At 36.3% G+C, this 16351-nt stretch overlaps 1 protein-coding gene and 1 pseudogene across 1 annotated transcript in view; both read right to left on the bottom strand.

Moving 5' to 3' along the window:
- Nucleotides 1-4582, bottom strand: part of NXPE2 (neurexophilin and PC-esterase domain family member 2) — a 349427-nt gene extending 344845 nt beyond the window's left edge. Inside the window, exon 1 of the mRNA XM_017017209.2 lies at nucleotides 1909-4582. The gene's annotated coding sequence lies outside the window, so the exon portion shown is untranslated. The remainder of the gene's footprint in view (nucleotides 1-1908) is intronic.
- Nucleotides 4583-14595: 10013 nt separating this feature from the next.
- LOC100422382 (nocturnin pseudogene) lies at nucleotides 14596-15799 on the bottom strand (annotated as a pseudogene).

Below are 16351 nucleotides of genomic sequence, written 5' to 3'. Positions count from 1 at the left end.
TCAGATATATGAACTGGGCAAGTTACTTATCTGCCTCCATTTCCTTACCTGAAAAATGAGCAGCTTTCACAGGGTTGCTATGAAGATTAAATAAGTTAATATTTATTAAATATTTGAAGCAGGGCTTTGTCATCTTGGCACTGTATTTGGGGACTGATAATCTGTTGTGGGGACTAACCTGTGCATTTTAGAATGTTCAGTAGAATCCTTGGTCTCTAATGTACTAGATGCCAGTAGCAGTCTCCTCCCAGTTGTGCCAACAAAAATATCTCCAGACACTTCCAAATGTCCCCTGGGGGGCAAAACCACCTCCAGTTAAGAACCAATAATTTAAAACAATCCCTGGGAGGTAATAAAGGCTACCTAAGCATTTGTTAAATAAGTGTTCTGTGGCAATTATTATGTGACCCCTTCTCGTTTCTGGGCCACTAGCCACTGCACCATGCAAAAGCCCAGTGGTATGTCAGAAGCCCCATTGCCACAGACTACTACTTGATGTGGCCATACTTACCCTGGGGTCTCCCAGCCCACTGCTTCAGATGCTGTTGATTCATAGCACAGAGTGCTCACTTTCTGTCCCAAGCCCACCCCACCTCTAGCTCTCATCCCTCTAAATCAAATGTGTCCAACCTGTGGCCCAGAATGGTGTTGAATGCAGCCCAATACAAATTCATAAACTTTCTTAAAATATAATGAGACTTTTTGCAATTTTTTTTTTTTTTTTTTAGCTCATCAGCTAACATTAGTATTAGTGTATTTTATGTGTGGCCCAAGACAATTCTTCTTCCAATGTGGCCCAGGAAAGCCAAAAGATTGGACACCCTTGCTCTAAATGAAGGGGTATCATCAGGCTCTCCCATAATTTCTTCTACTTATTTCTTAGGGATCTGTTTTTTTGTTTTTTTGTTTCGTTTTGTTTTTTGAGATAGGGTGTCTCTCTCTCACCCAGGCTGGAATGCAGTGACACAATCTCGGCTCACTGCAACCTCTGCCTCCCAAGTTCAAGTGATCCTCCAACCTCAGCCTCCCAAGTAGTTGGGACTACGGTTGCACACCACCACACCCGGCAAAATTTTTTTATTTTTTGTAGAGATGGGGTTTCACCATGTTTCCCAGGCTGGCCTCCACCTCCTGGACTCAAGCCATCTGCCTACCTCCGCCTCCCAAAGGGCTGGGATTACAGGCATGAGCCACTGCACCCGCCGATAGTTTTGAAAAAGCGACATTGCAGGCCAGTTCTAATGTCCCCTCTCAGTGTAACTCCTCCTGGTGACAGTAAGTAGACGGTCCCTAGTACTGAGGCATACAGATAGCCTTCTTCCCTATTTCCAGGGCTCATTTAGGGCTGGTCCTATTTGGGGATCATCTTAAGTAGTTTGGGGAATGTGTGGAAGTCTGTGGAGGCTTACATATTTCCTAGGCCTCTATCCTTGATATTTTTAGGACTAGATCTCCTTAAAAACGGACCTTTTCTTCCCAAAAAGTAAAGATTTGGCTTTTTTCAGTCAAAAATGTGGAACGAACTGGATTTTACTAGAAAAACAATGTACTTAGGAACTCCTGGTAGGAACTAAAACATGTTTTTAAAAATCCTGCAAATTTTTTACCACCACAGTATAAAAATACTAACAGCTTATAGATTAATAAGTTAAATCTCTGAATCTTTGACCTTTGACAAACGTCAGTGTTATGCTTTCACTACAGATAGATGTTTTCCTTTGGATTGCCTGATAAAGTATGCACAGTATATTGAAATCACTTGAGATAAAATTTTGCAAGGAGTCAGAAGGTTATAAATGCTTGACATACTTAAATTTAGGATCACTACTGTATCATAAAGGAGATTATATTTCACAGCTATCTGTTGTCTGGAAGCTGTCTAAATAGATGTGTTATTTGTGGACTTACGGAACTGGCAAGGATCAGAGCTCACATGCTTCAGCCTCCAACTCAATTCTGCAATCGGGGCCACATCATCACTGCCAAATGACCATCTTCCCCCTGCAATAAAAGAAGACTAAACTGCTCTACATGAAATAAGAAGAAAAGGCTGGGAATATTTGCTCCTGAAGAAGAGGAAGAAAAGACGATAGGTAAAAAAGAATAAGTGGAAATTTTAAAGCCAGTTCCAAACTGGGAAGAAGAAAATTGCAACAAGGAATGATACCACCCTAAATATATAAACTGGTTTTACAAATTAATTTTTGAAAAAATAAACCAAAAACACTACTCTCACAATAGAAAATTAGTAAAGGACATAAATATTCACATAGAATGAAAATTGGACAATATATATATATATTCAAGAAATTAAAGTTTACTAACAAGTAAAGGAATAAATGTAACAGAAAAAAAATCCAATTGCCAAAAATTATTTTTAAATATTATCCAGTGCTGCTCACCAGGGGACAAGGAAACAGGCACTCTCTTACACTGCTGGTGGTAGCATAAATTAATACTAAACAATACATATAAACACAAAATCATAGTCTATTCTGTAATATCATTATGGCTACAATACTAAGAAGGCTTGGGTTTTCAAATATCGAGATATTAAAATCAAGACTGTAATAGAGAAAGGAAGAGTAGAGAGTTACAGAACTGCAGTACCAAAATTATTTTCACTGCAGGAATTTCAACAAAGGTATTTTTTATTCATCTAAGTACATTTTCTTTTTTCAAGCTACAAATAAATTTATTCAATAACTGTCAGAAAAATTACCTTCATACAGACTACATCTTCTGAGTCTAATGCAGCAGTATTATAAGACAAAGAGAGAGATCGATTGAACAATCCTATACGCCTGAAAACTAAAATAGTCTACTAAATAATACTTGTTTTAGAGTAGGAGGGAAATTTGTTAAAGACTTCAAACTAAATAAAAGCAGTACCTGAAAAATGTATGGGCTGCAGCTATAACTAGATGTAGAGGGAAACATTTTGATATTAATAACAAAACAATAATAAACATTTATTGAGTATGTTCTATGCGCCATGCCGTTGTTAAGTTCTTCATACATTATCACATTGAAACTTTTAAATTTATTATTTATTTTTTAGAGACAGGGTCTTGCTATACTGTCCAGGCTGACCTTGAATTCCAGTGTTCAAATGATCCTCCTGCCTCAGCTTCCCAAGTAGCTGGGACTATGTTATTGTATTTTTATTGTAAAATAAATAACTATGGAAATAAAACACATGTGTATTTTAAAGGATAAAGATAATAAAGCAAACACATGGGTAAACACATTTTTAGTGTGAAGGAAATATTGCCAAAACCTTAGAAACTTCCTGCATAGCCCTCTTCCAATCACATACCCTTCCTCCCTCACGAAGGTAAGCCACTATCCTGATTTTGATGCCCTTCCTTCATAATCATTCCACTTATGTACACCCTAAAAACACATTGCTTAGCTTTGTCAGGTCTTTTAATTTTATTTAAATGAAATCATATGGTATTATTCTTTTGCAGCCTGCTTATTTTGCACAATTGTCTGTAAAAGTCATCCATGTTGCTGCATGTAGCTGCAGATCTTTTTATTGCAGTATCATATAAACACAATTAATTATGAATTCTACTGATGATAAATACTGGAGTTATTTTCATGTAGGACTGTTATGAATATCCTCACACTTGTCTTCTTGTGCATATGTGTAAGATTTTCTCTACTTTAAATATCTAGAAGTAGAACCACTGGATCTTAGGATGAACACACATTTAAATTTACTAAGTAATGTCACGTGAGTCTCCGAAGTAGTTGAACCAATTTACATTCTCACCAGTAAGTGCTTAAGACTCACATTCTTAACCCCAGGTATGATCACACTTTATATTTGCCAATGTGGTGGGAATATAAATTTCTTATTGTAGTTTAATATGAATTTCCTGATTAATAATGAGGTGAACATTTTTTTCCTGTTTATTGGACATTCAAGTTTCTCTTTTATGAAGTACTTGTTCTCATGCTTTCTTCATTTGTCTATTGGATTTCTTTTTTCGTTTTTTTTTGTAGGAAATATTTTTGTATATTAGGTATGAGTTTTTGTCAATTATATAATTTGCAATTATCTTCGCCTAGTTTGTGACTTGTGTCTTTATGGTAGATTTAGAGAAAAGAAATTCTTCATATTAATGCAACTGAATTTATCAGTCATTTCCATTATGCTATGTGCTCATGTGTACATGTGTGTACAGCTTTTTAAATTCATTCCTATCTATGTATCTCATATTTTTCTATGCTATTGTAAATGGTATATTTTTAAATTTTCATTTTTAACTGATATCTGCTGGTATATTAAAATGCAACTGATTTTTGTATGCAGATTACATACTATTGAATTACAATGGGGTTATGTCCTGATAAACCTAAAGTAATGTGAAAATATCATGAGTCAAAAATGCATTTAATACCACAATAAACCCATTATAATGTCAAAAAACTAAGTCAAACCATTGTAGGTTGAGGATGGTCAGTAATGATTTTCATATTCAACTAACTTGCCAAATTCTTATTTCTAAAAAATATTTTCAGTCTGGGCAACACGCCAAGACCCCATCTCTACAAAAAATTAAAAAATTTGTCAAGCATAGTGGTGTGCCTGTGGTCCCAGGTACTCTGGAGGCTGAGGCAGGAGGATCGCTTGAGCCCAAGAGATGGAGGCTGTAGTGAGGCCATGTTTGTGCCACTCCACTCCAGCCTGGGCAACAGAGCAAGACCCTGTCTGAGAAAAAAAAAAAAAAATGTAAATATGTATACAGTTCTTTTGGATGTTCCATGTAGATAATCAAATCATCTATGGAGGAGTTTTATTACTTGCCCCAGTCCTAATATCTTTAATTTCTTTATTGACTATGTGGGCTAACTCCAGTATGATGACCAACAGAATTGGTAGTAGCCATCCTTGACAAGTTCCTCAGTCTTGGGAATGCTATGAACTTGCATCATTAAGAATGATGTTTGATGTCTGCAGTATTGTTGTCTGTAGATACCCCTTGCCAGGTTTAAGTAAATTGCCTTGTATTCCTAATTTGTTTGCTTTTTCCTTTAGTCACGAATGGATGGTGACGTCTAACAAATGATTTCCTGCATCCATGAAGATGATCATACGATTTTTCTCCCTTAGAATGTTAATATGTTAATTTGATGTTTTAATATTTATTGGGTCAAAATCCTTTTTTTTTTTTTCTTTTTTGAGATGGAGTCTTGCTCTGTCTCCCAGGCTGGAATGCAGTGGCCCAATCACGGCTCACTGCAACCTCCACCTCCTAGGTTCAAAAATTCTCCTACCTCAGCCTCCCGAGTAGCTGGGATTACAGGCACGCACCACCACACCCAGCTAATTTTTCTACTTTTAGTAGAGATGGGGTTTCGCCATGTTGGCCAGGCTGGTCTCAAACTCCTGAACTCAGGTGATCCGACTGCCTCGGCCTCCCAAAGTGCTGAGATTACAGGCGTGAGCCACTATGCCCAGCCTCAAAATCCTTGCTTTGTAACACTCTGATCATTGGTTCATACAAGCCATCTTTTTTTTTTTTAATAATAAACACTGTGAACCCAATATAGGAACTAGAAAACTGACATTTTTATACAGCTATGTGATCTTCCCTCCATCCCATCCTCCACCTCCCACATGCAAAATATTTCCTGAATCTTGTAATCACTCATCATATATCTATATGTCTCTCTATAAATAATAGATATGCACACAGATATAGATATTTTTCTGAAGAGTATGTAGCTTAGTTTAAGTTGCTCTTTGAATATTAAGCATATTTGACCTTTTGGAACTTAATTATTTCACTCAATTTTATGTAGCAGAATTTTTGAATATAGATGTTGTTCAATCATTTTGTAGCCATATAATATTCACTTGAGAATGTGCTTTATCCATTCCCTTGTCCATGGGCATCTGAATCATTTCCAGGTTTCTGCTTTATCAAATAATGCTGCTATGAACTTTTTGTACATTTCTCCTAGCATATATTTTCAAGTTTCTCCTGAACCTAGAGGTGGACGTGCTTGGCAGATGAACATACAAATGGTTAACTATTAAGATCATGCCAAACTGTCTCATAAAATGGCGGCACCAATGTACATTCCCACCAACTAACTGTCTGATATGGCTGATTCACATCCTCTCCAATTCTTGGTACTGTCAGACCTTTGATTTTTGACATTGGGATAGGTATGAAATGGTTGTCATACTATAGCCGGATGTTATGTGTTGTTCACATTATTTTCTTATCTTTTCCCTGTTTGCAGCACTTGAGTCTTTTTCATTCTTGATACTGGTTATACGTCTTCTTTTTCCTTCAGCCATCTTGCCAAAAGTTTCAGTTTTATTATTCCTTTTAGCTTACTTGCTATTCTCTACTGAACACCCTCTACTGAATATTCATTTTCTATTTCATTAATTTTTGCTATGACTTTAACATTCTCTTCACTTTTATTCCTTCCTAATACAGGATTTATAGCTATAATTTTCCCTCGAAGTCCTGTTTAGCTGCACCCTAAAAGTTTTTATCTGTAGCATTTCCATGATCTTTCAGTTTGAAATATTTTCTAATTTCTATTTAAATTGTTTTGTGACCTGAATTTTATTTGAAACCATATAAAATTTTTCAAGTTACTCTTTAATTGTTGAGTCATAGCTTAATTGCATTGTTCTCATAACATTGAATGATTCCAATTTACTAATATTTGTTATAATTCTTTATCATGTGCCTGAAAAGAAGGTTTATCTTCAACTTGGTGGAGACAGTGCTCTATGTGTACACTCATTAGGACAAGTTTGTTAGAGGGAAATTATTGGTTCTCAATACATGTATTAGAAAATAGGAAAAGCTGAAAAATAAGCACAACTGAAGACATAAGCAAGAGACAGAGTACACCCAAAGAAACAGGAAGAAAGAAAATAATAAAAGGTAGAAACCAAGAAAAAATAATGGAACGGTATAGAAAAAAAAAGGTTAATACTATCAGAAGCTTCTTCTAGAAAAAGACTATTGTTGATAACCTCAGGAAATAACAGTTTAACAAAATAACAATAGAATGCAAGCAAACAAAATAAATAAGGGAACAAATTATAGCTATAATAAAGACTTTAAAAGTAGTTTTATTATAAAACACCTATAGCCAAATATTTTTGAAAACCTACAATAAATAGAATGAAAAATTATATTACCAATAAAATTAGCATAACATAAAATAGGAAACTTGAATAGACAACCATGAAAAACTGAAATAGTGTTACCCAATGATCTTACAGGGTGTCCCACTGAACTGAAACAGAGCATTTCTATGTTATATAAAATTTAGCCAAAATTAGAAAAATTGTGGAAACTACCCAATTCATTTTTCAGTTTGGTACAATCTTTAAAACTATCAGATGAGGACAGCAAAGAAAATTATAGGCCAATTTCACTAACAAACATAGAAGGAAATCCACTCAATAAAATATGAGCTAACAGAATCCAATCAGGTGTTTGAGAAAAATAACCCTAATAATACTTATTAGGTTTTATTCTAGAAATGCAAAGATAATTTAATATCAGAAAACTTATTAACATATTTCACCACAGGAATGTATTAAAGAAGAAAATACATGATTATCTCAATAGACATAAGAAAGGCATTTGATAAAGTTCACATTCAATTAAGATCTTTAAAAACTTTTTAACCTTGAAGACTAGAAAGAAAAGAACTTTCTTAACTTTTTGAAGGCTATCTATCAATGCCCTATAGCAAACATCATCATTAATGGAGAAACTTTTGATGTATTTCTTTTTAAGTCCAATAAGATAAAAACGCCACCACCATAGCTACTGGTCAATATACTATATGACATTCTGGCTAATATAAGACAAGAAGAAGAAACAAGTAAAACAATTGGAAGAGAAGAGAGGGTGTTCATTATTTGAAGCTGACCTGATAATCCACATAGAAAACCCAGGATAATTACCATCCAACTAAAAGGCATTATTAAAAAATTAAGGCACAGTACAAAAATCACAATAAGAAAAACAATTGCATATGATCAAAGACTAATGGAATAGAATTTAAAAGCTGAGAAAGAGACCCATATGAAAACCTGGTGTATGATACAGGTCATATCACAAGCCAGTGGAGAAAGGATAAATATTTTGGAAATGGTGATAGGAAAATTGGTATACTCCCTGGAAAATATTAAATTGGATCCTTACCTCACATAATCTCCGAATGTGGACTTCAGATGTATTAAAACCAAAACATGAAAAGCAAAAGTAAAATAAAAAGCAAATAAAAGTTTACATAGATTATCTTCATGATCTTGATGTAGAGAACTACAAATATTAACAATGGTCTTCTCTGTACAGAATTGTTATTTTCTAAGGTATTCACCTGTTATTTTATGATCAGAAAAAAGTGACCTACAAAAAAAATACATGCACTTGTAATATTATTCTTCACTGTGGAGCAAGGATATTTCATCCAGCATCAACTTGACCCACACAAAATACTCCCAAAGATCTTGATCCTCTTCTAAATTTACTGAGTGAGCTTCTGGTTACTAATTCAATTTGCCAGTGCCCTCACGCTGGAAAAAGGAATGCTCCCTACAACATACATTAATATGGTATTTTGGTCGTTAGAAAAGAAGATCTCAATGTAAATTGATCAGCATTCTGAATTAATACATCAGTCCCTGTGTGCTTGGTTGGAATAAGTTCCTCCTCAAGGGATTAGACCACTGTTGATATACTGAAATCAAACTTCTGGGCCTGTAGCATGAAGCCTAAAATTTAGGCACCAACTGAGATGCTGCTTTACAGTCTCTGAGTTGACCAGTTGGCCCATCACCCTCAATGATATCTATCCCTGATTCATCATTACTCTTATCTGCAATAAGGATTGGCCAGAATTAAGACCATAAAAATCTTTCACTCATCTATTTACTCATTCACTAAGCAAACACTTACTAGGGCCCTATTAGAGCCTAGTGTATCCCCTTTCTTAGTTCACCATGCTTCATCCAAGTTGATTTTCTGATAGTTCCAAGAATACACTAAGTTATTTGCTACCACAAGGCCATTGTTCTCTGCGCCTCCTACAGCCTTCTTCCCATGTTCCTGGACTACACTGTCACCTAATCAAGGCACCTGCACTAACCATCCATTTTAAAGTAGCCTTTCTCCTCCTCAGCACCCGCCATCATTTGTCTTTACCACAACATCTTTCTGTTTAATATCACAATTCTTTATTTACTTATGTATTGTCTAGCTTGCTCATTAGAACATAAACTCTGTGAGGGCAGGGATATGTCTAAGTCCTTGCTAGATCCCTAAGTTTTACAACAATACTCAACACTAACTAAAATCCTCAATAAATATGAATTAAGTAAAACAATGAATTCCTAATCATAAATTTTCTATCAAATAATATCTAATTTAATTCTGCAGAAATTTGGGTGTGTGCTATCCTATTTAAGTAGTTTAAGCTATATATTTTCAAAGAAGAAATTTCCAAAGCATGGACCATTCTCCCATATAACTTTAGAACTTTTTAAAAATCAATTGTCTATAACATCCCATTTCCAAGGGTCTTTCAGTAACTCAGTGTATAAAAGCATATGTCATGCTTTTCTCAAAAACTGGTATTAACCACAGGAAACACATACCTATATTATTCAAACCTAAACTAGATTTAGGATTTAATTCAAATAAAATTATTTATAAAATTTTCAGATAATATCTGAAACTCTAAAATAATTTTAAAACTCATACCTGTCCCTTCTCCCCATCCATCCTCAGAAAAGCAATGTTTGAACATCAGGCTTCATGGCTAAAGGTCACAATTAACCACTTCAGAACATCAAAAGTGGAAAACCAAAGGTCAAATAACCAAAGAATCTGCAGCATTCCTATAAAGACTGTATAAAGTCAGCAGTAGTGTGAAACACGTGAACAAGACATCTTCATTTATGCTCTGATCATTAACAGACTGTATCATCTTATTAAACTAGATTCTACAAGGCTTTTTTCAATATTTCTGAAGTGCTTTCATTTAACAACTTGCAAAACAAGAATAATTTTAGTAGTATAGCATGTCATTTCTCTCTCTCTTCTGCTGCCGTTAAGAGAGGGTTTCAGACAAAAGTCCCAGGCATAAATACACCACTGAGTCCCAAACTCCAACAGAGGGACTGATATATGCCCCAGATGAAATCTGAGTGTTTTTAAATCAATTTAAAGAACATTATTGGATTTTTATGTAGAAAATACAGACATAGCTGAATATTTCACACTAAATGTATTCAATTTAAAGTGCCTGTCCTTTATTATGAAGTTCTGTCCTTTGTGTGTTTTAAAATGTCTTTTATGAAATGATGGGGATAGCAGGTGGTGCTTTTAACATCCTTATTTGGCAAAATAAAAGTTGGCAACTTCTAGAGAGTACCCAAATAATGTTTAAAAAAAGCACTATTCATAAAACCCAAAGCTGTGTAAAACAAATACTGATGGCCTAAAGAAGGAACAAGGTTTTCTAGGAAGAGTTGGCCCTGAGGCATATAATGCCAGTCCCACATTTCTGGAAGCTTATATTTCAACAAAAATAGCTGAACAGTGGCAACCTTTGCTCCTATTCCACTTTAGTGAGGCTAAGATTTTTCTTCATAGTGTCCTTAAGATCTATGCTATCCTTCAATTCTGAAATTGTCTGCTAGCTGTTACTTATAAACAAAATTATTGAGCTATCATGTCAATCTATTTTCACAAAAAAATTTGATGACAGAATAAGGTAGAATGATGTAACAAGGTATCTTAGAGCCCATAGGATGGTAAAGATAAGAAAATGCATATGAAAAACAAATGATTTGGAGAAAGATGTGTAACCAAGATGACTGAAAGTATAAAACTGCATGCAGTCTCTAATTTAACAATTCTATTGCTCAGTATGAATTGTAAGCTGTTTAAGTGAAATTCAAAATGGAAGTTTTTCCACAGAAACAAAACAGGGCTAGGTTCCAAGGCAATCTACATGGGCCTATTAATTTAGATTATCCAAGGAGTACACCTAACTCAGAATTCAGCAGCATCTCTTTCCCCATTTCATGACTAAATATGGAGGTAAGAAGGCAAGATGCTCCTAAAAGGTATTGTTAAATTTCCTTTATCTGTAAACCAAAACTGCAATTCCTTATACCACTTTGATGATGACATAAAAGAAAGCACCTCCCTAAATTGTCCACTTCCTGTTACTCCACGTTGAGAAACAAAAGGAATTTACTCTTCCTAAGGGCACAAGCAAGGGTCTCAGAGATCAGTTCCTCCAACCTGGTCCCATTACATATTGGTCCTAAAACAGAATCATTCTGAAAATGGATCATGGAAAATTATGCATCTTTGTGTGTGCACATGTATGGGTGTGTGTGTGACAAAATACACATCACATAAATTTACCCTTTTGTCATTTTTAAGGGTACAGTGCAGTCGCATTAAGTACAGTTACACTGTTATATAACCAAAATCATGTTTCTTATCCTGGATCCCCAAGGATTCTGCAGGCTGCTCATGGTATGCTTTCATTTGTACAATAACATATTTTGCTCCACACTCTTGGACCACCTGCTCCACAGACTTGTTTGCTGTAGCCTAGCCAGTGGTATAACCTGGGTGATTAAATTGCTAAACTGATTAAATTACCCTGAAGACCAAGTTGTCTTAGGTCCTGTGCATTCAACTTGACATGTCAACTGTGAAATGCTTGTGTTCTAGTGGAACGAAAACTTAAAATCCTCCCACGATTTTTTTTTTCTTGGGAACAATGTCTCACTCTATTACCCAAGCTGGAGTGCAGCAGTGCAATCATGTCTCACTGAAGCCTTGACCTCCTGGGCTCGGGAAATCTTCTCGCCACAGCCTCCCAGGCTCAAGTGATCCTCTCACCTCAGCCTCCTGATAGCTGGGACTACAAGCGCACTATGCCCAGTTAATTTTGGGGGTTGCTTTTATAGAGATGAAGAAATCTTGAAGCCACAGCCGTCCTTTACACAATAGAAAATGCTTGACCAGAGAAGAATTCTTCATTTATGTTACCACCATGGCTATCTATACTTCACTATGAGCCACATAAAATTAAATGCTTTGTTCAAATAATTAAAACTCAACTAATTTTCACAATAGACATATAGCATAGAGCTGGCCCTCTATACCTGCAGGTTCCACATCCGTGGCTTCAACCATTTGTGGATCGAAAATATTTTTCTAAAAAATTGTGTCTGTACTGAACATGTACAGACTTTTCTCCTTGTCATTATTCCCTAAACAATGCACTAACACAACTATTTACATAGCATTTATATTGTATTCGTTATTATACAATAACTAATCTAGAAATGATTTAAAGTATCCAGGACTATGTGCTTAGGTTTTATGTAAATACTATACCATTTTATATCAAGGAATTAAGCATCCATGGATTTGGGTATCTGCAGGAGGTCCTGGAACCAATCCCCCATGGATACCAAGGGATGACTGTATTTATCAATAGATATCTAGCATAATAGCTTTTGTCCTCATCAGCAGATATGGAACATAACAGCCTTTGTCCTCATAAGCAGATATGAAACATAACAGTTTTTGCCGTCATCAATCTGCTACATAAGGCTTATCCTTGCAACAACCAATTTTCCATTGTCCCTGCTACTTATTAATTTTTCAAAATGTTACAGCGTTTGAGTGAACCTGGGACATTGATGCACTACTACAAAGCAATCAATATGACAAAACTGCACTTGAACATTACGACTATTATTTGTTCTTCAAGGCATACACATACAAGAACAGCACTTCACGCAAAGCAAACTATCAATTTCCCTCTAAATTTGTAAGCTGGTTTCTTAACAGAGATATATTGTTTTGTAAATGAGAAAACACAGGTGTCTCAGGATTCATTCTCCTCTCCTATGGCTAAACTGCTAAAAAATGGAGATCTTTCTTGCCCACATACTCAGTACCATGGCTAAGAGCACTCAAAGAACACTGACTTGAGACTATCAGGAAAGGATATATGGTCCCCAACTTACAAACAGTTTGACTTACAACTTTTCTGTTTTTTTTTTTTTTTTTAGCTTTAAAAGACCATTTATTAATTTTAAGTATTTATGACTCATGGGTTAAAATATTTATCAATTTAATACCAACAGGTAATTTTGTTTGAAAGAGGCTTCAACTGTTATCTTTACTACTTTTATTACCAATGGGAGAGAATTCGACGTTACCTTTCTAATTTTTACATTCTCTTTTGTAGATGTTTTGAACCACAGTATCTCGCTATCTTAGGAAATGTCAATGACAGTCCATTAACAGGCTTTCCAGAAAGTTTCCCATCACTGAAAAGTAGTCCTACTGACTTTCTTAGCCACTACCACATTCAGCTCGTAAATAACCTATTGTGAGAAGCACATTCCAATAATGATGACGCTGAGTGACCTCAAGTGTATACCAATATTATTCCAGTTAAAAAGCTTAGATACTACTAGCATTTAAATAATTGAAAACTAATTGGAATCTCTTCCAGAAATACAATAATGGGGAACATGGAGGCACAGCAAAGATTATTTATAATGTATGAAGGAGACCTGATACTTACTTACACCTACATAACAAACAAAACCCCCTCCAGGCTAAATAGTTCTTTTGTACACATTTTATTAAAGCCCAAATGAAAATATTTTAAAGCTTTAAGAAAATTACCGTAAACTACTTTCTCCATAATTTGTGTCTTGCATGGTTCTAAAATGTTCACAATGCTATAATTTGTTACTTAATTTTATGTGAATTTTTTAAAAAAATATCTCCATGCGTATGTTGTTGACTTTTTTTTTTTTTTTTTTTTTTTTGAGATGGAGTCTTGCTCTGTCACCAGGCTGGAGTGCAGTGGCTCCATCTTGGCCCACTGCAACCTCCACCTCCCAGGTTCAAGTGATTCTCCTGCCTCAGTCTCCCGAGTAGCTGGGACTACAGGCCTGCACCACCACGTCCAGCTAATTTTTTGTATTTTTAGTACAGACGGGGTTTCACCGTGTTGGCCAGGATGGTCTCAATCTCTTGACCTCGTGATCCTCCTGTCTTGGCCTCCCAAAGTGCTGAGATTACAGGCGTGAGCCACCACGCCTAGCCTTGTTGACATTTCTTTAACTCACAAATACCTTGACATGCTGTCTAGAGAAACTGCTCCTATATACTGATTAATTATGGAGGATTCAAGCAATTCTGAGTTTTTATAGCATCCTCAAACTGAAAAACCTTCAAAATTAGCCATTTTTTCTTAATTATTTATGTATTTAAGAAATAGAGACAAGCTCTTGCTATGTGGCCCAGGTTGGTCTAAAACTCCTGGCCTCAAGCAGTCCTCCCGCCTCAGCCTCTCACAGTGCTGGAATTACAGGCATGAGCCACTGTGCCCAGCTAAAACAAGCCAATTTAATGCCCTTAAACAATCAAAATGTAATGCTAAGGAAAATAAAACAATACACGCCAGAACTGGAGTGCAAAAGCAAAAACCTTTTTGCTATAGATTTGTAAACTAATGGGATCCTTTCCCAAGGGCATGCTAGAAATATAAAAAATGAAATGACAAAAACTTCCCATGTTTCTATCCTTCGTTAGGCAACTTCTTATCCTATTTCAGTTTCCTGAAACATCCCTGGTTAAGACTCTTGTGATTAAAAAGACAAAAACAAGTGTTTATGTAAGTCCATCAGATTCCTCATTAAAGCTGAAGTCACACACCAGATACCAGTGGTCTGAAAGATGGTAGCCAGTTGGATCCAATCTGTTCTTTGGTGAGCAGATCAAGAGCTGACCTTACATTTAGAGCATGCTTAGAATACCAGAGGGTGTGCCTGCCCTCCCCTGGGGTCCAGATCTTCCTGGTAGTATATGGGGGTTCTGACTGCCCACCAGCACTCAGGGGATTGTAGGCACTGTTCAGGTTGAGGCTGGAGGAAGCAAAGTGTTTCTAGGCCTCTTGTGTTGGTTCTGCATTGAAGTCCCCTCAAACAACAAGGGGAATCTTGGCCCTTGAGTGACATTTTGCAGGTTCTGAAGAAGGTCACAGCCTTGAGCTGATCAAAATCACGCCCAGCCAGTGCGTGCTTTTACATGGGTGACACCGATGCAGAACTGTTGGTCTGACTCCTTGCACTCTAGGAACTGTGCAATGGCCACCTGATTAGTTTTCAATGTCATGGCCATCAGCCTAATATTGGCACTGTTCACTAGCCTGATTTGGTTTTGGAGGAAAAATTAAGCACAGCTGTCTGGTCCACTGTTGTATTCTATACCTAGACAAGATGACCAGGGCTTGGGGGAAAAAAAATGTGCCTTGATAGCCCAGCCTCCTGAGGAGTGGTTGGAAGGTTTCAAAATACTGTTCTACCTCTTGGAGGCACAATATATCAGGCTGGTAGAATAGGATTTCTTCTAGCGTGAGAAGCTTCCTTTCTTCTCACTTGAGTGTTTCAACAGGGCATTGTACAAAGTTGTCTTTGTCTTTCCAAGAGCTTGGATGAAGTTGTTCCATTGCATGACTCTAATAGGTAGGTAGTTACTGGAGTCTGTCCTCAGATCCACAAAATCTCTCTGGAACCAGGGAAGTTAAGTATCCACGACAGCCCTGCATTCCTCAAAAAGCTGCTCTTTAGGATCTATGGGCTCCAGATGTTCTAGGTCAGGTAATAGCAAACACTCTGGGTGCAGGAGGCAGCAGCACTGCTGTTCAGTGTCTTGGCGAGAGCGCTAGAGTCTGCTCATACTATTTCAATCGTACTTCGACTACCCATACAACCGTTCTGCTTTTCACCTTCTCTACAGTATTAAGTTACATGGTATATTCAACACTTTATTATAAAATAGGCTTTCTGTTAAGATGACTTTGCCCAACTATAGGCTAATGTAAGTGATCTGAGTACATTTAAGGTAGGCTAGGCTAACATGTTTGGTAGGCTAAATTTATTAAATGCATTTTTTACTTAATAGTTTCAACTTACAATGGGTTTGTTGGGATGTAACCCCACTGTAAGTCAAAATGCATCTGTACTGATTCATTCACCTTGAGTTTAATAGGGGGAAATACACCTGGACGATCCTAAGAACATAGCTTGCAGGACAATTACTGCACCGAACGAACCAGCAAATGAGAGGCCCCCCAAGAGCACTAGAATGGCAAGCTCTACTAAGCAAATATACTGATCATTTTTCAAGCTGTAGTTCTATTTAAACCAATTTGCACTGCAGTTCATTTCACAGAAATTACTTCATAGCTTCAGGAATCCCCTGTGAAATCCTAAATACCAGCACTACAAATT

Source organism: Homo sapiens, chromosome 11 (genome assembly GCF_000001405.40).
Source record: "Homo sapiens chromosome 11, GRCh38.p14 Primary Assembly".
NCBI lineage: Eukaryota > Metazoa > Chordata > Mammalia > Primates > Hominidae > Homo > Homo sapiens.
This window is presented reverse-complemented; position numbering and strand designations above follow the sequence as displayed.